Source organism: Homo sapiens, chromosome 5 (genome assembly GCF_000001405.40).
Source record: "Homo sapiens chromosome 5, GRCh38.p14 Primary Assembly".
Classification (NCBI taxonomy): Eukaryota; Metazoa; Chordata; class Mammalia; order Primates; family Hominidae; genus Homo; species Homo sapiens.
Genome location: NC_000005.10, coordinates 133,440,819 through 133,463,343, shown reverse-complemented (window position 1 = coordinate 133,463,343; position 22,525 = coordinate 133,440,819). Strand labels below are relative to the sequence as shown.

Here is a 22,525-nt window from a genome sequence, read left to right as displayed (position 1 = left end):
GGTGGAGGAAGAGACACTTGATTGGATATCAAGAGTGGAGGATCCTGGATAAATTGGCTTCTCAGGATTCTTTGCTAAAACTGGGCCCAGTAGACCAAGGATTAGGCCCTGCAAAGCAGAGGGCTCAAAAAAGCCTGACTAAAATTTGTTCAAATCTCTGTCACCAGGTACTCATAGGACAGGGAGTGTCTGTGAGGCCTGACACACAGTCACTAAGGATGCTGGCGTGGCCTTGGGCCTGCCGTGATTGCTTGCTGGTGCTTCATGCATAGTAAAGATGGTCAAATCCCTGAGACCTAGAAGAGACTTCCTGCCTCGCACGGCATTCCTCAGCCAGGCTTTGGAAGGAAGATGAAGCCAGACTCTGGTTGCTTGCGAACTCCAGGAGCACAAAGTCTCCCATCTCTGAGACCTTGGCCCAGGCGCAGCTCAGAAACTGAGTGTGGTGTCAGGTCACCTGCTCTCTAGGTTACAGAAAGCCCCAAACTGGCTCAAATAGTAGGGAAAATTATTTTTACACATTGCCAAGTCCATGAATAGGGCAGGCCCCAGGCTCAGAACCATCATCAGTATCAAGCGCCGGCTTCCTTCCACTCTATCATCCTTCGTGGGCCAGCTTAGCCTTCCAGCTGGACCGTGCAGAGTCACTCACAGACCCACATCCAAGGAAAAAGACTATCTCTTCAGAATCCTTCTTAGCACTCCTCACATTTCACTGGCCAGGGTAGTCTACCGGCTCCTTCCCGAACCAATCGTTGTCATGGAAGTGGGATTTCAGGAGTGTCTTTGATTAATCGTTAGGAGTGAAGTGGAGGCTCCAGAGTCAACCCCTGCATCCTCCACATGTGCTACTTTGAGTCCACTTGAGTTGAATTGAATTCTGGGCCACAGAGTTGAGTGTTAATGGGCTGAAAGATAATTAAGGTGTTTTCTACATCTTGGAGTGAGAACAAGAGCACGCATGTGCCCTGGCACCAAAGGGACACAGAGCTTGGCATATTTCCTAGGAATTCTCCAGGGTGTGGGGAGAGGGAGGACCAAGCTCCCAGGCCCTGCCCCTCAAGGGCTATGAGTGCCAAGCCTGTGTGTGAGCACCTGGCCAGCTTTCTGTTTGAGAAGACATCATCTGGGGGGCCAGAGGGGACATCGGGGCATGTCACAGAAGCAGTTGTCGTGGCTCTCTTGCCTCAGTGAGGACGTGGTCTTGAGATCTGTGTCTACCTTTCTCTCCCCAATGCCCCTTCTTTGGACAGTGTCTGTGATGGACTCAGGTGAGGTCAGATGGTTTTTGAAAGCAGATGGCCCCCACTTGCTGCCTGAGACCATTGTTTACTTCTCATATCATGGCTGGCAGCAGGGCCTGTGCTTGGCAGGACTCTTCCTCTAAACCTGCATAGGCCTAGAGCTTGTCTCATCCTTGCTGAGAGCCAGGAGGTTCTGAGGTGTGGTTGTGAGAATGTGTAGTTATTTTCTTATTTAAACATCCTAGGTCTCGGTCTTTTCTTTTTAAATGTGTTGGGGGAGTAAAGTTCTCAAATGAAGATAACTTATGAGACTTATTACGCAGGCTGATCAAATGGCATGATAAATCATATAAATGGTATAAAATGCTTTGATATGAATAGCAGAATAGTGAATAAGGATGAAGCATCCAACCCTTCTCCAAGGTCACTGGAGTGAAAAATATCTTATTGGGCGCCCCAGATATGTCCAGTCAGTCAGCAACAGAGCCTAGCTTGTAACTTCCGTAGAATTTCTTTGCTAATTCGGAGGGTTTGTTTGTTTGTTTGTTTGTTTGTTTAGGGAGTAAAAATCAAATTTGCATTCATCCCAGGATGTTTCAAGGACAGATTTACAGCAACAAACATTGGTGAACTAAAACTGGGAGATTGCACTGTAGAGTTAGGATATGGAACAGAAAAATGTTTAAAGCTCCAGTAAACTACCTAGAAATGTAATTAAGTCCCTTGCAAGAGGCCAAAATGCCAAAAATGTGACAGTCACCCTGTTCTTGAAGAACCACTTCTGGAGGTAATCAGTCTGTTATGACAGGGGAGGATGGATGGAGGCCCCAATATTGTGTCGTGGATTGAAACCCATGCTAGTTAGGGTATTGTCCCTTTAGATTGGCAATTTTAATATCAGAGCCACATTGACAGATGGAATTTGAGTAAGTGATTTGTGCAAGCAGTCCACAACTCACAAGAGAGTTTTGCTCCCAGCAGTTTAGCATTAGGCAGTCATCTAGACCTTTGAAAACAAAAATGCATTTTTTTCCACAGGAGTATTCTCCTGAATGTGGTTTGACTTCTGCACTAGTGTCCAAAACTTTATTTAACCTTCAATGTTGCTAAAAACTACTTTATACATACAATTAATATCATGGAATCCAATGTTATAAGAAAAATTGTAGCACTGAAAGGGAAATTGTTCCTTTATTTTCTCTTGCTTGGCGTAACCTGAAGGAAACAGATTTAACTGAAAGAGGATGAGAAGTTAGCCTCAGAGCATGCAAGAGTTGGAAGGCGTTTGAGCCAGAGCTCAATTCAAGCCCTTGTTTATCAAACGAGGAAACTGAGACTCAGAGAAATTTGGTGTTTGGCCCAAAGTCACACAGCCAGCAGTGTGACTAGCATTCAGGCCTGCCCTGACCCAGTGAATACTCCCTGTAGAAAGTTTCCAAAGAGACAATCAGATCCCCTAGGTAGCGTTGGGCCCCACTGGAAAGTCGACTTTTTTTCAGTTTCACTATAAAACATGCCCTGTTACTTCTTAAAACGGAGATGAGGCTTGCGACTATTAGGCTTCTCTAGGAATAGAGCCCTGGAGCTCATAGACAGAAAGAAAAGAAATGTGTGTTCATGCGAGAAGCAATGATAAGGTGAAACTAACTGAGCTGGAAACTGCAAAAGACCAGGAGCAGAAAATGTGTGGTCCCTGCAAGGAGGAGCGGGGACCCCAAAATCAGATGGCGGACAGACAGCTGCACACTAGGTGGCGCTGTCATCCCCCCGGTGGCTTGGTTGCTGCCCTTGGAAAGAGCACTGGGGAAGGTGTTACCGGTGGAGGGTGTCCAGGTTCTCGGTGTCTTGAACAAAGAATTGGACAAAACGCACAAAGCAAGAATGAAGTAACATAAGCAGAGATGTACTGAAAATGAAAGTACACTCCACAGTGTGGGAGCGGGCCTGAGCATAGGGCCTGAAGGGCCCCGTTACAGAATTTATGGGGGCTTAAATACCCTCTAGAGGATTCCATTGGTTACTTGGTTTACACCCTATTTAAATGAAGAGGATGAAGTAAAGTTACAAAGTCATTTACTCGGCGTACACCCTATGGGGAGGATATTTCCTTTCGTAGCTGAAGTGTGAATCAGCCTCATGTGTTTCCTGCCTCCAGATCCTATTTTCCTACCTCAAAGGAGGACCCTGTGTCCATGACAGGGGCAGGGGGAGAGTGTGGCATGATTCTTTGCCTAGGGAAAGGGGAGGGTGGTGAGACACACAGCTCACTAGTCCAGTGTGGATAAGCCAGAGTTCATCAAAGATAACCCAAAACTCAGCGCCACAGCATTTCACTTCCCAAAGCCTGAGTTGACGCTTATGGTCTCCTGTTCTCCCATGAGAGAGGTAGCCTTGGCCCCCACAGCCTCTTTCCTCTCCTGTGTGACCCCATTGCCTCAGACTACAAACTGCTGGAGGACAAGGACTGTCTGTTTGGTTTTGCTTTGTTGTTAATTCTCCACAGTCTCCTCTGCAGATGTTTGATAATATCTGCTAATTGAATATTTAATTTACTCAACTCTAAGGTAGATTTTTGAGAGCAAAACAATTTTTAAAAAAACATTATTTTATATTGACACTTGAAGTTCTAAATAAGTGGGTTTTTTTTAACCTGGAATTAAAAAAATCTAATCCTCGTCATATTTAATTGTCCTAAATACTGAGTGACTCTTGGTATGCTATTAATTCCACATGCAGACTCTTCATGGGTGGTGGCTGATGGGGGCTTCCCTCTCCACTGCTTTGGAGGAAGGGCTGCCCTGCACGGACCCCAGGGTGGTGGAAAGGGAAAGCACTCTCGGGGACTGTCGGTGGGTTTGCTTTGCTCTTTGTTTTTAGCCTCAGAATAAACATATGTGCCCTTTGCTTCAGCCTCTCAGGCCCAAGGAAATGGGGAAAAACAGTGGAATCTCTGCAGTTTCTGGAAGACTGCTGGCTGAAAGCTTCCCGAGAGCCTTCAGCCCCACACATGCCCTCCTGCTTCCAGAGGCAGGTGGGGTCTGTTGGAGGTGGGGGCAGTGACACCATACCTCTAAGGCAGAGGTCTGAGCCATCCATCAGCACCAGCCTGACTTTCAGAGGCCATGGGAGCTGGGGTGTCTAATGTCCGCTGCGCCTCTCCTCCGTCCCCGTCTACAACAGGTGTGTGTGCACCCTACCCCCTGCTGCTCCAGAGCTCCTGGAGGATGTGATGGGGCCTTCACAGGAGGCTGTCCAAGCCAACGCTTGAAACAATCTAAAAGGTTGCAGGTTTTACAGCACTCAATCCTTCCCTCCTCCTCTCCCACCTTGTGTTTGGTGATAATACTCCCACAGACAACAGTGATGCCAGTGCTTGTGTCTGTGAGGCCCTGGTAACTGGAAAACAGTTGCCCATCATCTGGGGGCATTCCCATGAGGCCAGGCCATCCCCAGTCCACAGATGGGACCCAGGCCCAGAGAGGACATGTGGCTTGCCAGATGCAGAAGGACGGGGATTCCAACCCCAGGGCACCTCTCTGGCATTCCCATTAAGGAAGCCTATTCTCTCCTCATGAAATACATGGGATGAGATGCTGCCTTGGCCAATGCCAGACCTAACTTCAATTTGGGATGAAGACAGAGAACGGGGAGGAAGGAGGCTCACTACCCAAGGAGGTGAGCTGATGGCATCCCTGTTTCTTCCTGGGCATACACAGCTGGGATTGTAAAACCCAAGGCAGATATTTCAAGGCTGCCATTACCATTTTCTGAAGGACAAAATCATTCTTTTTTATTAATACATAAATAACTTTTTTCTTGAGCAGGCCCAAAGAAATGAAACACAGATGGTGATAATGTTGAAAATGTTTACCTATTTCCTCTCTGAGGACATCAGATTAGCCTTTTCTGTGGGCGGAATGTGTAATCTGCTGGAAGACAATATCATCCTTTTGATCTTAAAATACATTTTTCATATCTTTGCCGCAAAAGCTGATTATTATCATGACATTTTTAAACAATGACTGTTCACTGCGCAGAATGGGAAAGGAAAGTTCAGCTGAACGTATAGATAGATAGATGCTTGTCGGAGGCCAGGCTATGGGAATGAATTTTCCTGTGTTTCTTCTGCCTGGTGACATTTGACATTAACCCCTTCCTCCCGGACTCGGTCTTGTGCACTAATTGGAATCTGATGCTCAGCTGTAGGAATTGGCTGCTCCTCATTTACATGCAGAGACCATTGATTAATGGCCTCATCCACTCCTTCCAAGGTCACTGTGTTCCCTTTTCTTCTGGAAGTTAAAGAATGCTTGATTAAATGGCAGAAGCAGATTGAATGGGGAAATGTATGGGGAAGGGCTTTGTTACACCAAGTGGGGCAATGCAGACTTGAGATGCTGACGACTCCTTTGTAGGTGGAGCCCATCAGTGCAAATGACACAGGCAGCTGAGAAGCGTTTGATTGGCCCCGCTGCCTTGGCTGGCTAACATGAAACTGACAATTCTAAGAGGCTCCTCTTCACAGCTCACTCGCATCCCTTCAGGGCTTCACAGCATTTCAAAGGAAAGGCATTGGATAAAGGAGAAAGCAGCAGAAGTGGAAAGGACACAGATTTCAAACATTCTGTTTCACATTGGCTACAGAGTTTTGTTTGTGCGGGGAAAGGGGTGAGTCTATGCATACCAGGTACCACCCACCTGTGTGCTCCAGAAGGCCCGTGATATCCTGCCCAGTTGCTGAAATCTATAAAATGTCAGGCCAGGTAGCAGCAGGGTGAAAGGCTGGAAGCAGCCAGCAAAGGAAAGGTTAACGTGCGCATGCTGTTTGCAGTTCCATGGCATGTGGCATCTTGCACAACCAGGCCATTTTGCAACCGAGTTAAAATTCCCCTGCAGCCACAGGGAGGGAATAGATAAATCATGAATGAATTGAAATTATATTTCCTTCTCTTAGCTTTCTTTTTTTCTTCTTCTTTTTTTTTTTCTTTCTCTATCTCCCCACTCCAGGAAAAATGTTACAGAAAATTATAGGTTGTAAATTCCACCCAGTGCATTTAGCTCCATCCTTGCTGAGGGTCAGAGGAATGGAATCTCACCAGTCATATTTCATGAGGTCTTTCAGCAAGTTCCTGTACTGTGTAGAGATCTGAAGGGCAAAAATTCAAAAAGTCAGCAGGGCACAAATGGACCAGAGGTAGGAAGCAGACAGGTTTCCTGGGGCATCCTCTGGGTGCAGCCAGGCTGTGTGTGCTCCCAGCTCTTCTCAACTCAGAACCATTCATGTCACAGATAGTTGGGGGCTCGTTCCTATGCTGGGGCAAAACCATAGTGAAGAAAATTGCATGCTTATGTGGTGTGTTACTTGTGCTTCAGGGTTTTTTGTTTTGTTTTGTTTTGTTTTGTTTTGTTTTTTTAAGTACAACTTTGTATGATGTGCCTTGACCATTGACAAGTCTTCAGAAAAAAAGGAAAGAAAGAAAGCTTCATACTATTGGGTCCTAACCCAAAGTGCCAGTGACCACCAAGGGCTGTTGGCCTCAGCAGGGAAAGCCTGTGTCTGGGTCTTGAAGGCAGTGTAGGCAGCAGGCAGAGAATCAGCTGGTTTTCCCCCTCCCTAAGCTGGACTAATGCGTAAGCTACACTGAAGAAAGGGGAGGGTGACCATCCCCCAAAAGCAGGGCTCACTAGCCAAGTGTGTAACCCAGAGCACATCAAAGCTAAAGCAAAAAGTAGAAGCCAAAGCTATCACAAGGCCTAAGTTGGCGTCCAGTCCGAGCATGGCCCACTTGTTGTCTCAGGACGGCCAGCTTCACAGCCAGTGGGCTTCATCTCCACCCACCAGGAGGTTTGGGCTAGGGTGTGTGTATGTGCATGTGTGAGTCAGTGAATGATGTGCTGCAGAAATCAGAGATACAGAAGGACCCTGAGGAGCTCCTCCAAGAGTCCCTGGGGTCCTAATATAACCAGGACATTATGCCCAAAAGACTGATCCACATGGCTGAGGCTCTTTACAGGAAATACCTGCATTGCTAACTTACTATCCCCAGAACGCCCTCCCCTGCCTTACACGTAGCAAGTAGAACTTGCTGATGACAAGACACTACGAGAGCTGGGAACCTAGAAGTATTCGGCGACTGTCAGACCTCCAGGAGCCTCCCTGTGGGTTCAGAGGGAGCATGCACATGAACTTCTGGGTGCTAGCCCAGGCTGGAGGCATTCCCTTCCTGGCAAGGGAGCAGGAGGCCAGCACAGGTTTGCAGAAGTCCATGTCCTCAGGCTGTGGTGGAGTGTGGGCACCAGGCCAGGAGTCTTGTTCATAATTCCATGTCACCAACCCTTTGCCTTTTGACCATTCACTTCTCTTCTAAGACCTTAAGTATCATTTTGCTCTTGAAGCCTCCTTGAATATGGTCTTGAGCTGACATAAAACTTCCCTTGGGATTTTCCTTCTTTTCTCTCCATCTAGACATTTCTCTTTTGCAGGCCTCTTTCAAAGACCCTCTCTTGTCAGCTTCAGCTGGCTAAGTCTGCATGCCTGGGCCTTTCTAGCAGGTATTTGAAAACGCAATCAATGTATGTTAAGAAATGTAATCAATGAGGTACACATATATATATATATATGCTTAAAAAACAAATTTATTTTATCTTTTGCTGTGTTATCGGTAGCAGTTGCAATGTTTTACCTTCGCCCAGAAGTTACTATGCCAGAAATGCTCTCATTCATTCTTATGGGTTCAGCGTTTCCTTGCCTATTATTTTCTTGGGAAATAAAAATACCTCTCAAGATAATTGCCCAGCATTTTCATAGGATGAGTTTGTCCTTTTTCTAAAGCAGGAAGGCTAGGAAGTACCAAGAAGAGGAGCCTGGGTAGATGAAGGAATAAAGAGGAGGAAATCTAAACATGGGGAGATTACTGAATGTGCCATGTGCACCTCTCCCTCTCCACTCTTCCTCAACTCAACCACAAACCTCCCAAGGCAGGGGCCACGTCTCCCTCATCTCTCTACCCTCCTCCTTTAGTATGGAGCCTGACACTCATGCCTTCATTTAACCAACCCATGTTGAGTGAGGGCTACTCTGCACCAAGTACTGGGCTGGGAGTGGGGCACCGAGTCAACAAGACAAGGCCCTGCCCTCAAGGCGATCTCAGTTTGTGAAGGAGATTGTCAACAGAGAAAACTCTAAAATGAAATGCCATGAGGAGACCCCTGTGATAGGAGAGAATGCTTTAGGAGCCCACACATCTTGGGGTCTCAGAAATTGCAGGCCTGGTCTGGTTGCTGAGGGACCACCCCCCACAGAAAAGAAAAAGAGCCTTCAAGCCCCAGAGGGTGACTGGCAAACTTTGTGTGGTATTCAGAACAGACAAATTCTAGGTCAACAGAATGTGGGTGGTGGCTTATCACAGAGCGGGGCAGCCATCGTGACTCGCGCTCGGCTGCCTCATGAATTCCCTTCAAATGTTCCCAGCTAACGTGTGATTCCATGGTGAGAGAAATGCCGCCTTTGAGGGCAGAGATATTTTCCTTTCTTGACAAATAGTTTCTATGTCCAGGCAGCCATCTGCCACCTCTGTGAGCTTATGAGATCCAGCGACTGCTGCTGAAGGTTCAGATTCAGGATTGATGCCGAAGTTGTGTGTGGAGGAAGGGGTATCGCTGGTGCAAACCCACCATTCAGAAAAAATTAAAATCCAGCACCCTTCCAGCTGAAGCTTGTCCAGGATTTCCTTGCCAAGTTTCATTTTTAAAAGCTCTGCAACTTTACTCAGATGTAGGTATTTTTGCTTTGTACTCAGATTTTCACCAAACTGATATATCATTAAACCTTTGTTTTTACAATACATGCTTTATTGCAAAACCAATTTCAACAAAGTATTGCAGATGCAATGTAATTTTTATGTCCTAGTTGTTGTTGTTTTTTTTTCTTTTTTGGTTGCTAGGGTACCAAATGCTTTTGAGAAAGTAGCGTGATAGTATCTATAATATGGTGGTTTTCTGGATAAGAGATTGCATTATCCTCATGTAATATATTTGGGCAGACTGTGTCCATCATGGCTCAGCTAGATAAATAAATTAAAACTCGCTGATTGAGGAGGAAATGTGATATTTATATTGCTGAGAATGGTTTGTGCTTCTCTTCTGACAGCTGCTGTGTTGCTGGGATGCCTCATCCCAACCCAACTTAGTTGTTTCCACTTCTTAGGAAATATAAAAATGCTGTAATGTTTTCAGGACTGTGAAAACACTGCCTTAGAGGCTGGGCAGCCACTGTTCCTCCAAAGCCTCCATCCCCTCAACCTGGCCCCCTCTTCCTGATTAGTCATGAGATGACCTAAGAGTCCTTATTGGACACCAACTCCGTGCTGGACATGGTGGCCCTTCATGGGGATCAGTGCCCTTGCTTGGGGCGTGCTGTGGCTCCCAGCCACAGACCCACTAGGAGGTTTCTAAGAAGGTGGCTTGTTCCTTCTCTTCCATTTCCTTCTCCAAGTTGACAGCCTTGGGTGGGCAAGAGTCAGGGCTGGCCCCAAGGTCTAAGCTCAGGCAGATATTGGTCCCCAGCTCCTTGGCCTGGGTCCAGGAGGGACTTGCCTTGAGATAGCCCAAGATAAGACAGCATAGGTCCCTATGTGAGGCCCCTCTGCCCAGGTGTAGTGAAGTGCTACTCCCAGGGACAGGTTCCATTGCCTGGGGGTGGGAGCATCCACTCAGAAGTTCATCTAGTCTGAATACAAGATCTTGGAAAAGCTATTATGCAGTCTGTGTACACTCAGATGTCATATGAAGACCGTGGGAATTATGATGATGATGATGATGATGGTGATGATGAAGAACTACAGACTTCAAGAGAAGGTGGCATGAATGGGGCCCTTCAGGAAGGAGAAAAAATTCCATGTTCTGTTACTGCCTTCTCACTGTCTGTGTTGTCGTTGGATGTAGAAGAAGAGTGACATAGAAGATACAGTATGGCACACTGAGGGGTGGCCTGGGCTTGGATCTGGAGTCACTCATCTGTTCATTCATTCATTCATTCATTCATTTTTGAGCCTGTATGTGCACAGGCATTGTTCTAGGCACTGATATTGAATTCAAGTTCATAATGCACCATTTGTATAACCTCCAACAAGTGACTTCACTGCTGTGCCTCAGTTGCTTCATAGAGTTGTTGGTAGGACTCTGACTAAATGGGACACTGCACAGAGTGCGCCTGCAATAAAGAACTGTCATCATCCTGTCTTTTAGATGTAGTCTGAGAACAGCAGAGCTGTGCCATGTGTGTTCTCTCTGGCAGGAATAGCAACAGGACACTCCACTCAGCTGCCTGGGGTCCCTGGAAGAGCATCCACTGGGGCTGCCCAAGCACAGCTCCTGCTTTCCTGGATTCAAATCCTGGCTCTACTACTTACAACCTGAGCGATCTTGGACTGATTGCTTAACCTCTTTGAGCCTCAATTTCTTCATCTACACAGTACATTTAATACGAGCACTTACCTCATAAGGAAGTTGTGAGGATTAAATGAGTTAATACATGTGCACCTCTCAGAGCCTAGCACTTAGTAAAGCACTAGATGTTAGCTGTTGTTGGTGGTGGTGTTTCTGGAGGAATTTCCATTTAAATGAGAAGTGCCTGTGGAAATTGCCTGCACAGAAATCTCTTAGCTCAGGAAAATTTCTCTGGCTGCAGATCCCTCTAAGAATTCCTGCATTGTTTTCCTCTCATTGCTCAGTGAAACACAAATACCTTTGTCGCCTTTAAAAAATTCAGTTGTTTGGTTTGGTACTTGAGAGATATGAGCAAAGGATGATACAACAAGAATAGTCTATATCTTCTTAGACATGCTTCTCCCCAGGTAATCAGAAAGGCAAGAGTGACACTCTGCCATGCAGCTAGAGTTTTTATATTTCCAATGGGAGTGAGGCCAGGCAGCCAGCTTCTCCTTCTCCTGGCAAGGCTCTTCTGCCAAGTTGGGAGGGCTCCATCCTCTGTGCCCCAACAGCCTGCTGTGTGGAACTCCACGGCAGCCCCAGATACTCTGTAGGTCTATCTCCCCAGCCAGGTGTGGGCTCCTGGGGGAAGAGGGACCATACTTTTTGTATCTGCATCTACAGTGCCTGACAGGGAAGCATTAGGAGGCAGGCAGACAGCAGGACAAATGGCTCCTTCTCTCTTTGGCTGTGGCCACCTTGGTGCCTATAGCTCATGCGCAATCTCGATGCTCTCTTCCCTTGGTGGAGAGGTACAGCAAATCCGTTGCCAGACAAACAGAAATATTCAATTCTTCCGCCCAACTTGAACAATTCTGTTTCCTTCTCAAATGCCTCAGGAGCCTTGGAGAAGTTCCTGTCCCTCCCCCCAGGCCTCAGTTTCTCATCTCTGAGATGAGGCTGCTCTGTACCCAGCAAAGTGTTCCACGGACCCTGGCTTAGCCCAAGTACAGACAGAGGTGGTGGCTCTGCTCCACACATGTGTTTCTGCTGTGTTTTGGTCCTGTTGGCCTTTTCTTGATGTTAACATTCTCTTTTTTTTCTTTTTTGAGACAGACTTTTGCTCTTGTTGCCCAGGCTAGAGTGAAGTGGCATGATCTCAGCTCACTGCAACCTCCCCCTCCTGGGTTCAAGCGATTCTTCTGCCTCAGCCTGCCAAGTAGCTGGCATTACAGGTGCCTGCCACCATGCCCAGCTAATTTTTTTTTTTTTAGTAGAGACAGAGTTTTGCCATGTTGGCCAGGCTGATCTTGAACTCCTGACCTCAGGTAATCCGCACGCCTCTGCCTCCCAAAGTGCTGGGATTACAGGCATGAGCCACCGTGCCTGGCCAACATTCTCAAACTTTCCTTTCGTAAACAGCAGGCCCTCAGAAGGCTTCCTGATTGGAAGGGAAACAGTGACCCTCAGCCAATGCAGGTGGAACAAATCAATGTGTGCAGACCCTGCCTGCCTAAATCAATTCAACCTGCCCTCTAGGGACTTTGCCATAACTGGGAAAGAGCTTCCTTCTCCGAGTTACTTAGGCCCAGATCTAACTCCCATCCTTTTGGTTTCCTCTCCCTCCATTCTTCTTCCTCTCCCAGTTCCCCTTCTTTCCTCCCTCCCATCATGCCTCTCCCTCCTCTGTCCCTGTCTCCCTCCACTCACCCCATTCCCCCTCCAGGGTGAAGAGTCTGGCTACCTGGGAACACCTGGGGTCTGGGTCTTGTCCAGCATGTACTAAGGGCTGGCATCACCTGGCTCTCCCCCATTGGTCTGCAGCCCTGATCTCCCCTCCTCTGTGAATGCTCCAGCTCCCTGATGGATCTGATCTGAAAAGGTGCCGGTAGACTCTGCATTAAGTCAGCTGCTTGTGGCACCAAGATGACAGGTGTGATGTTTTCCTGGGGATGCCGAACTGGGAAAAGTACCATCTCCTGTTGTAATGGAGTTAATGGCGTTCCGCTCAGGACAGCTGCACTTACATCTGGTGTTAAACCACCGTTATTTAAACTTTATGATGTGAGAGGATGCCAGCTCGTCCACTTGCAACATATAAATTATGTCGATTGCTCATGCACTTTTTTTAACCCTGATTCTTCTGAATTATGAAAGATGGACAAGACCAGTGGTGGTTCTCAGAGCTCCCCTGGGCCCTGTGGGCCGTGAGTGCTCGGTGTGTGTGCAGATGGCTAAAAGGAAGCAGCAGGGCCGGAGCCCATAGCCTCCCCCAGCCATTAGGGCACAGTCCTGGCTGAGCCTCCCAGCTCCTGAGGGGCCCATCACTCTGGGCTCAGTAGGTTCACCCTCAGGTGACCTCCTCTGCCTTCTTCTCTTGGGGAGATCCATAATGCATGTCATAAAGAGAATGGACCCTACAGCTGGTCTGCCTGTAAAAGTCTCCCCTGATAGAAATCATCTTGCTTGCTGTGGGTTTGCATCATGGGCTGTTTTTTCCTTGGGCATGGAGATGGAGGAAAGACTAGTATTTGTGTTTGGTGAGGAACCTAAGTAAAGCTCTTAGCAAAAAGAATTCTTTCAAAGCCAGCTGGTAAGTGGCTATTCCAAAGCCACTTGTACAGGGGCTGCCAACACAAAAGCCCTTTCACATTTCTGAAGCAAACTTGACCTAAACCCAGAAAGAGAAGCCTGGATTGTAACTTCTGCTAGACAACTGACCACAGTGTGTCCCCAGTAAAGGCCTAGTGGGACCCCAAGAGCAGAGGTCCTGGGGATCAATTCTATAGATTCCTTTTGCTCAGGATGAAATCCAATTTGCCCTCCATTTCATTTTTTTAAAAAATTTCCTGCATTTGCCAATACTTAAAAGACCCGCAGGGAAAATGAATTGCACAGTGGTGTTGGAAGGGAGAGGAAAAGAGCGCACCCAACAGGGAACACCCGCCATCTCAGACAGAAGTCTGGGAACTGCTGTGATGGACCTTGAAACACGGGAGGGACGCAGACCTCACCCCTCACCTCGGACCCCGCCTGGGGTGGTTGCTTGAGGAAGGCTCTCCCTGTAATCCGCCCTTTCAGTCACTGTCTGTTTTCCAGGTTTTCCCCACATGGAGATCACTCCTGGTTGCTTTATTGGGTCCCAAACCACGGGCTTGTCTCCAGGCCCCAACCCCAGCCACAGCTCCTGCCTTTCAGAGGCCCGCGCGTGTTAGACTATTTGGCCATGGTTTACCTTGGCCTTGCTAGCTTTCAGCTGACAGTGTCATGCCAGCCTCCCTCTCACAACCCCAAAGGGTTCTGTGTGGTGCCTGATGCCACGGAACTCCACATGATGGGGTTGAGATGTCCCCCAAACAAGGCACCAGGCCCAGCGTTCTGAAGAGGGGTGTCGGGGTCATCTCAGTGCCAGGAATCCACCTGGCAAGCAGGTTCAAGGTGAGGCGCGAAGGGGCAGTGCAGGGCGAGGCCACCCTACCCCCCAGGCCTATGGTGTGCACAGACGCAGGGGCACAGGGGCACGTGGGGCGGATCGTTCTGTAGAACACTCAGCGCTTGTTTGGGGTCATCTTCAGGGGATCAGAGGAGTGGGGCTGTTTGCAGAGATGCTCCCTTCCCTTTCAACCCCTGTCTATATAATATATATATATATGCGCCTGAAGGCTACCACTAAAATGGAAATGTTATCTGGGAGTTGTCAGAATTACCTCCCCAGTATAAATTAGTCAATCGCCATTAAACATCTGGGTGAGAATTAGTCAGCTGATTACCTAAACATTGGTGGCAGCTGTGGCTTCAAAAGAGAACTAGATTTGGGGACCTGAATTTAAAACCCCATCTTATCACCTTTGGGTGTCAAACTTCATTGTGTTTAAGAAGCATCTGGGGAGTTTGCGCAAAAGGCGGAAAATTCTGAGCGCCCCCCCCCCCCGCCCCCGCACCCCTGGGGATTCTGAAGCCGCACTGTCTGACCTTGGGAGCTGTCAGCGACCTCTCAACCTCAGTCTTCTGTCTCGAGAGTGGGGACGTTAGTGTGTTCCCAATGGTGTCATGGTGAGGACAGTGACAGTGAGCTGAGCTCTGACAGAGGCAAGTGCCCACTGCTGCCGTTCACTTTGTTGTTACCGCCCTTTAACTTCTGTGTGCCCTCTACTGTGAGCCCCGGGAGCAGGGAACACCTGACATCATGTGCTCTGAGGGAACGCATTGAAAAGCCAAGGGTGGCACCTGGAAGGGATGGGTTACAAAGAGCCGTCCACACACCTGCACTCTGGGCTGTGCCACTGGCAGCATACGGGGGCCCCCCTGTTTCTCTCCTTCAGACGGTGTGGGTGCTGGGCCTGGTGATCTCCTGAGCCACTGAGGACGGTCCCTGGGCCTGTGGAAAATAGAGGTGCAGGGAGAAGTCTAGAAGCCATGACTGTGACTACAGAGTGAACAGAAACCATTCGGCAGGGCAGCCCTGGGGAGGGAAGCAGCATATGGTTTCAGCAGGGGCAAATTAACGGAATGTTATCTTCCTCCTACTTTATGATCACTGTTTACTGATAGTGCTTAATTTAAAGTGTGTTCTCAGCATCTCAAGTGTGAGCAAAGACTAAACCACGGCTACTTTCATGCTAAATGTGAAACATGGTGTACTCACACATGCAAACAAAGAGGAGAAATGACAATTTCCTCCTTGAAGGTACCTGAAATTAAAAAATCTTGCCATCTGTTCCAAGAAAGAAAAAAAAAAGGAGAGTTCTGCTGAAAAATTAGGAAATTTCCATCAGAATGGTGGGATTATGTAGCTTGCACTAAAATGACATCTTAGAAAATTATAATCCTAGGCTGGGTGCAGTGGTTCACACCTGTAATCCCAGCACTTTGGGAGGCCAAGGCAGACAGATCACTTGAGGTCAGGAGTTCAAGACCAGCCTGGCCAACATGGCGAAACCCTGTCTCTACTAAAAATACAAAAATTAGTTGAATGTGGTGGCGGGCACCTGTAGTCCCAGCTACTTGGGAGGCTGAGGCAGGAGAATCACTTGAACCCAGGAGACGGAGGTTGCAGTGAGCTGAGATTGCGCCACTGCATTCCAGCCTGGGTGACAGAGTGAGACTCAGTCTCAAAAAAAAAGAGAAGAAAAAGAAATTATAATCCCACATACATGGTTGCTTATCATGTGTTTCGGTGAACTTTATGGAATTCGAGCTGCAGGAACCAGACCTACCATCTTATGAAGCGGGTCATTCTTTCTGATCTGCCAGCCAGGTGCTTCTCAAAAGCACAGGATTTGGAAATTTCTGGGAGATGCATCAGGTACTATTCTGATTCATCAGATAAAAGTTTGGCCTTAAGAAAAGATAGAATAGTAGAGTGGTTTAAAGGGTGGACTTGGGCATCAGGTGACCTGGGCTGGACACTTGGCCATATAGAGGCTTGGACAGGTGGTGCCCACACTCTGTGCCTTGACTTCCCCGGCTGTCACACAGGCTGGTGGTGACACCTCACCAAGAGGCTTGTCCCAGGGCTTGGCACACAAGTCCTCCTGTATATCAGCATCACTGCTCTTCCTACTGCCTCTTCTGCTGCCCTGACATCACAGCACATGGGTGGCCTCAGAGCATCGGCAGGGGAGCCCACCGTGAACAGTCTCCTGGGTCCTGAAGAGCTGAAAGATGTACTTTGTAGGAGCTGTCTTTTCTCTTCAGCCTACAGGAGCCACTTGTGGTCTGAATACCCTAGACCTGTGCTCTCTTCCTCTGCCTCCAGAACCCCCTCAGCCACCAGCCCAGTCATGGATGGTCAGAGTGCCTGAGACTGAGGTCCACAGAGGGGACAGGATGAGTGGAGCCACAGAGCTGGGGAGGACCGGGGAGAGGCCTGGAACCTGGATCCACCATCAGAAGAGGGAGCAGCGGTGTGCAGACATGTCCTCTTAGGGGCCTGTGCTGAAACAGGAACCTTTGCTGTAGACTTTGGGAGGGGGCTGGGCTGTGGGAATACGGCTGCCTGAAAGAGGACCGGCTCCTGATTCCCACCTGCGGAGGGCCCCGGGAGGGAGGAGCCCCAGTGTGTTCCAGGCAGGCTCTCCTGATAGTTGGTTAGGAACCACTCGAAAGAGAACACTTGGAGGAGTGGGGGGAGTGCCAGTGTCAGCAAGTTGGGAGCAGAAGAGAGCCCCACAGTGTGGAACAGGTAGCCAGCAGAACCCACTAGTGGACGAGAGCGTGAGGGGTTGTTGTTGTTAAGACAGAGTCTCGCTCTGTTGCAGCACAGTGGCATGGTTCGATCTCGGCTCACTGCAGCCTCCACCTCCTGGATTCAGGCGATTCTCCTGCCTCAGCCTCCCAAGTAGCTGGGATTACAGGTGCCTGCCAGCACGCCCGGCTAATTTTTGTGTTTTTAGTAGAGACAGGGTTTCGCCATGTTGGCCAGGCTGGTCTCCAACTCCTGACCTCAAGTGATCTGCCTGCCTCGGCCTCCCAAAGTGCTAGGATTACAGGCGTGAGCCACCGAGCCTGGCCCGAGAGCCTGCAGGTTTTGGTGGGGCTCAAATAGCTCTGGCTGCCCCCAAATAGGGGTGGGGTGGAGAAGTCTCCTCAGATGAAATGAAGGTCATGACTGCCATCATTTTTATACCCTACAATCAATCACTTGGGGAAATGGCTAGCCCTTGAGTTTATAAACCACATATAAACTTGTAGTATCCATTAAAAAGAACTGCCAGGGGACACGTGGTTTGCCTAGAATGGCACCCAGCCTGCCATCTGCTCCTGTATGTAAATTATCTGTGTTTTATAACCTTTCATGGAAGTTGTTTAAAGAAGACTGTCTTTTTTTTTTCTCCTTTAAAACTCAAGTATAAATTCAAAACTCACTTAAATAATCCCCAAGAATTTCTCTCTGTTAAATATTGCTGCAGCTCTGACAGGCAAATACACAGGCCTGGGGACCCGGGAGGGCCTGTGCACGTTTTGGGGAAGAAAGCCCCCGATTGAAGCCCCTCCTGGCATACTCCCAGCTACCCATCCCAGTCTGCTCTCAGCTTGGTATCTTAGAGACTCCCAGGTGGGGCCAACTGGCTCCCAGGAGTGGCGCTTCATCCCCAGGTTCCACAAGGATCCTTGGGAGTCCTTGAACAGAGGGCCTGGGTGAGACAGCATACCCCAGCACTGCAGCCAGGTGTCAGGGCAGGCAGGGCCGATGGGGTGGCAGCCGGCCCATAGGTGACCCAGACGAGGCCAGACCCACACTCCCTGGCCTGTGCTGCCCCGCAGCAGTGATCTGAGGGAGCACTCCCCGGCCTGTGCTGCCCCGCAGCAGTGATCTGAGGGAGCACTCCCCGGCCTGTGCTGCCCCGCAGCAGTGATCTGAGGGAGCACTCCTGCAGCCAGGCCAGTCCCTCACCTGGAAATCCCCATAGATGGACCCTCACCAGTAAGGCTTTTTTAGCTGGAAGCTGCCCCTCTGCTTCTCGATTTTTGAAAGTAAATGGCACCTCCCATGCCAAAAGAAGGCAGACTTGCTCTTTCGCTTGAATGTGAAAACACTGGGAGCAGAAGCAGGTCTGGATTGCTGGGTCTTCAGTCCTTACCCTTCAAGAGGTGCTATGTGCTAGGTGCAGGGCTTAATGTATTTTCACACATGCTGGCTACAAGGTGTGTGTTTCCATCTGCGCCCAGCTTGGAGGCTGCCTCCACCTTTCCACAGGCTATGCACCAAGGTCAGTGGCGGCAGTAGGAGACAGTGGGGGTTAAACAGGGGCTAGGAGCAATCTGGCATCTCGCCCTCCTCCCTTGGCCCCAGAAATGGAAGCTGGAAGGAGAGATGCCATGGGCTTAGTGGAGTGGGTGAGGGGCTGCTTGAGCCCTCGTGTCTGCTCATCTCATTCCCTGTGCCATGGGCCCACAGCTAATAAGCACCACGTATCTGGGGAAAGAGTGAGTTACCCCAAGGACAGGCCCATCCAGCTCCCTGCAGAAGCCCCTACTTCACTTTCATTCCTGCCTGGTCCCTGAGAGCCCACAGGCTATAGCTGGGCTCAGAGAGGGGAAGCCAGGGCCCAGCAGCTCAAGGCCTCTGATTCAAAGCTGGCCAGGGCCTGGATAGAGCAGCACTGGGGGCACACGTTGGTCTAGCAAGAGAGAAAAAATGAAAAGACATAACAGACCTTTTTTGATCACCCTGCATGGAACAGAGTTAACTGAGTCTGAGCACAACATGTCTGGGCAAGAGAGAGAACAGAGGGCCAGTATGGTCCCCAAAGAGGGCCGGGCACTGCCAGGCAGGGTGGCTGTAGGTAAGGAGGGTGCTGGAGCTCCCAGGACTGGCCTTCATTGGTCATGGGCCCTGGAGAAGCCAGGTGGCCCAACTGTGCTCAGTGCTTCTAACCATCATGAAATCATGAACGGTCTGGAGGGCGAATCCTCCCATGGGGACTGTGGGCAAGAAGGTGCCTACCTATCTGTCTGTCGTTATGTTTTTATTTTTCTTTTCTTCCTTCCTTTCAGTTGTTTAGTCATTTAACAAACATTGGTTGAGTGCCTGCTTTGAGCCAGACACTGTAAGGACTGGAAATACAGCAGTCACCAATCCAGACGTGGCTCCTACCCTCCATGTGCCATGGTGGGTGAGCAACTGCAGCCCAGCACAAGTGCCCAGGAGGAAAAGAAGGGGGTGTGTAGGAGCATATAGGAGGAACCCCAAGTCCCAAAATGGAGAGATAGGATGGGTGCCTAGGACCAAGCAATGTCTAAACTGAAAGCACACCACGGTCTTAAGCAAGAGAGTGAGGGGGAGTATTCTGAACTGAGAATTGCGTAGGTGAAAGCCCAGGCCAGACAGAGCCCCATATGGGGTAGTGGGTTTCCGCAGACAGTGAAGTGTGGCTGGAATATGGTGCAAGGGGCAGAGATGGGATGGGGCCTCCTATGAGGCTGGAGGGTCCCTATGGGCAGTAATTGACCCACTAGTGAGTGAGTGAGTCTGTGCCCTCCTCAGAATATCGGGCTGAACCCACAGACAGGCTGGCCTGAGAGGAGCTGGATTTCTTGACTAGGAGGAGTCAGAGCACCACCAAAGCACTCCAGGTCCAGACACACCCAGGCTCAGATTGGAGAACATCATCTAAAAAGCAGCCACGTTAGGTAAAAGCTCAGTATTTCCCCTTTTCCAGAGGGATGGGCCTGAAGGGTTAACCATTTGCCCTGGTTTTAAGAAACAGATGTCCTAGCAGAAGGGTCTGGGGACCTCCCAACACCATGAATGAGTTGCGCCAACACTAGAGAGTGTGACAATTTCAGTTCAAGCTTGGATGTTTAGAACATTGGAGTTTTTGCTTTCCCAGATGGGAATCCTTAAATGTTGCAATTTCTTCTTTAAGGCAAATTAGAGGAATCGAGCTCCGCTTATCACTTTCTTGCACCTGGAAGAAATCTCAGATAGGAATGATTGGCTATTTTTGGACCTTGAGTGAATTTAAATTCCACATTTAGACTCCACCACCCATGTTTGATTTCTAATTAGAATGTGACACTTACCTTATGAACACAAGGTGTCGTGCAGAAGACATTCTCCAAAGGAGGTTGAGGATGCGCAGAAATAAAGGTGGTCCATATGGAACAAGAATGATATTTCTGCAGGTGTATTTAGAGGTAACAATTTTCTGATAAATGGAATCTTCAGAAGTATTCTTTAAAAATCACCAGATTTGACTTATTGTGCTTTGCTCACATTTATTAAACTTATTAAGATATACAGGATACCTGTTGTTGCTTTGAAGAAGGTATGGTGTGTGTACTTGGATACGATGAAAATGAAACAGATAGATCAGGTATAAAGTCTAGAGATGCTAATGGTGTTGGGTCAGTTGTATAATGCAGGCTTTGCCACTGAGTGGTTTTTGTTTTGCTGACTCCAAAAGCCTGATTGAGCCTCTATGACTCAGGAGAAGGGAGGACATGAAATTTAGGGGTTCTGTGACCCAGGGGGTCATACCACAGATGCCTCCATATTTTTAATTCTCACTTCTACCAGGGCTCAAGATTATGTACCACTGCGTGAGCATTTTTAAAAAACTAAATAAAAGAATGACACCATGCTATATTATATTGGTTTTGCTGAACATGCTTTTATTGACTCTGGTCAAAAACGGATGAGGATTTTTTTTTTTCCTTAACCTTGATGAATAGTAGATAAAAAGCATCAACATCACATCTCAAGAAAAGCTGCAGAAGAGAAGGCTCAATAAAAATGGATCTGACTCCATGCAAGCATAGCTCTATTTAGCATCTTTCATTCTAATGACTTAATGGCCAGATACCACAACTATACAATTAGCAACAAAGAGAAGTTATTGGGAGCTGAAAGGGATGCCTGTGTCATCAATTTTCAGTCCTGTTGTCTCTTCGTGTAACCTAATAGAAGGAGACTGATAGCTAGGATCTTGTTATCCCATGGCACGGACATGTAGGATTTAACCACTGAGTAGTTTATCCTTAGCCAATTAGCCATTGGAAGGTGATTGCCACCTCAGATAATCAGTTGAGACCTTTGCATGGAGACTCATCCTCACTCCTCCTGGAGGATGCTGTGTGGCCCTGCCTCTGACCTGCATGTCTGAGAATTTATTGACAGCTCAAATCCACAGAATGGGATTTCGCCATGTGACAGGGGCTGTCCCTACCAGCCCAGCTTCTCACCATTGTGGGTACAATGCCAGCAACTCACTGGTTGATTGGCAGCATGGCCACCCATACCCATTCAGAGGCATGAAAAGAGCTCCACCAGTGAACATCCACTTGTCCCAGGCCCTGCCAGCCTGGACTAAAATCCATGCAAGAGAGAAGCTGGGCTTGCCAGGTAGCCAGTCACTTACTGTGTGAAGCTACCATGTGCGGAGCAGTGTCAGCCGACCCTGCTGCACTGGAGCATGCCTGTGGGAGGGAGTGGGCTCTGGTGGCAACATTGCTGGAGTGGGGAAATCTGAGTTCTCTAGTCCTGACCTTGCCACCAGCCATCTCTAGGGCCTCATGGAAGTGACTCAATTTCCCTGGACTTTTCCGGGGTTCAGTAGCCCTGTCTATCACTTGCTTGCCTCAGGCCTCCAAGCAGGTGGCCCTCCCTTGTCCTGTGCTCCGTGCTGGTGGATTTTCCACTTGCATCCCTCTGTCACTGTGATGGGTGAGGGCTGGAGGCACAGTTTGCCTATCTGCACTAAACGTTTCTCGGCCACTGTAGCAGATACTGGCAGTGCTCTCATTGTTTCCTACACACTGAAGGCATCTTTTGCAACTCTCTGTCTCCCCTCGGGGTGCTACCAGGATGCAGGGGCATGTCTGGTCAGTGCACAGGGCAAGCCAGGAGTGCTGGGAGTTCATGTGTCCAGGAGTAGCCTTCAACCAACAATGAGCAAGAGTTGCTGGATAAGTACCAGCTCTGCACCCCTCAGGTGCAGGAAGGCATCCTGCCCCATCTCCCAGGTGCCTTCCTGGCAGGCTTAATCCCAGCTGCCCACAGTGATAACCTGCTCATTAATTTGCCCCGTCTTGGCTTCTTTCTCTCCCTTCTTTCATTTCCCCATCTCCCTACCAGTGCTTCCTAGGATATCACTTCCCAATATATTTGCATTCAATTCCTACTCAGAGTCTGATTTCAGAGGAACCACATCAAGACTGCCCCAAGCCAGGCCCTGTGCTGTGCAGGCCCTGACACCGGGAGTGTTTTCTTCCTTTTTCTGACTATCCTCAGGAGCAGGGCTGGCCCTGACCCAGACCCAGGAGGCCAAGTGCAGGAGGCAGTAGTCCACTGTATCTGAGCCTCTAGGACACATTCCTCCTCTGTGTGGTGCTGAGGTGGGCCCAGT

At 48.8% G+C, this 22,525-nt stretch overlaps 1 protein-coding gene across 3 annotated transcripts in view, besides 1 other annotated feature; it reads left to right on the top strand.

Moving 5' to 3' along the window:
• FSTL4 (follistatin like 4) overlaps nucleotides 1-22,525 on the top strand; it is a 645,613-nt gene that overhangs the window by 378,724 nt on the left and 244,364 nt on the right. The gene's annotated exons all lie outside the window — the stretch shown is intronic.
• Nucleotides 4,723-5,922: an enhancer, noted in NCBI's record as "CDK7 strongly-dependent group 2 enhancer chr5:132793114-132794313 (GRCh37/hg19 assembly coordinates)". NCBI's record gives its function as "activates an origin of replication core promoter dependent on BRD2, BRD4, P300/CBP, MED14 and CDK7 cofactors, with strong dependence on CDK7, by STARR-seq in HCT116 cells {active_cell/tissue: HCT116}" and the evidence as "EXISTENCE:reporter gene assay evidence [ECO:0000049][PMID:35650434]".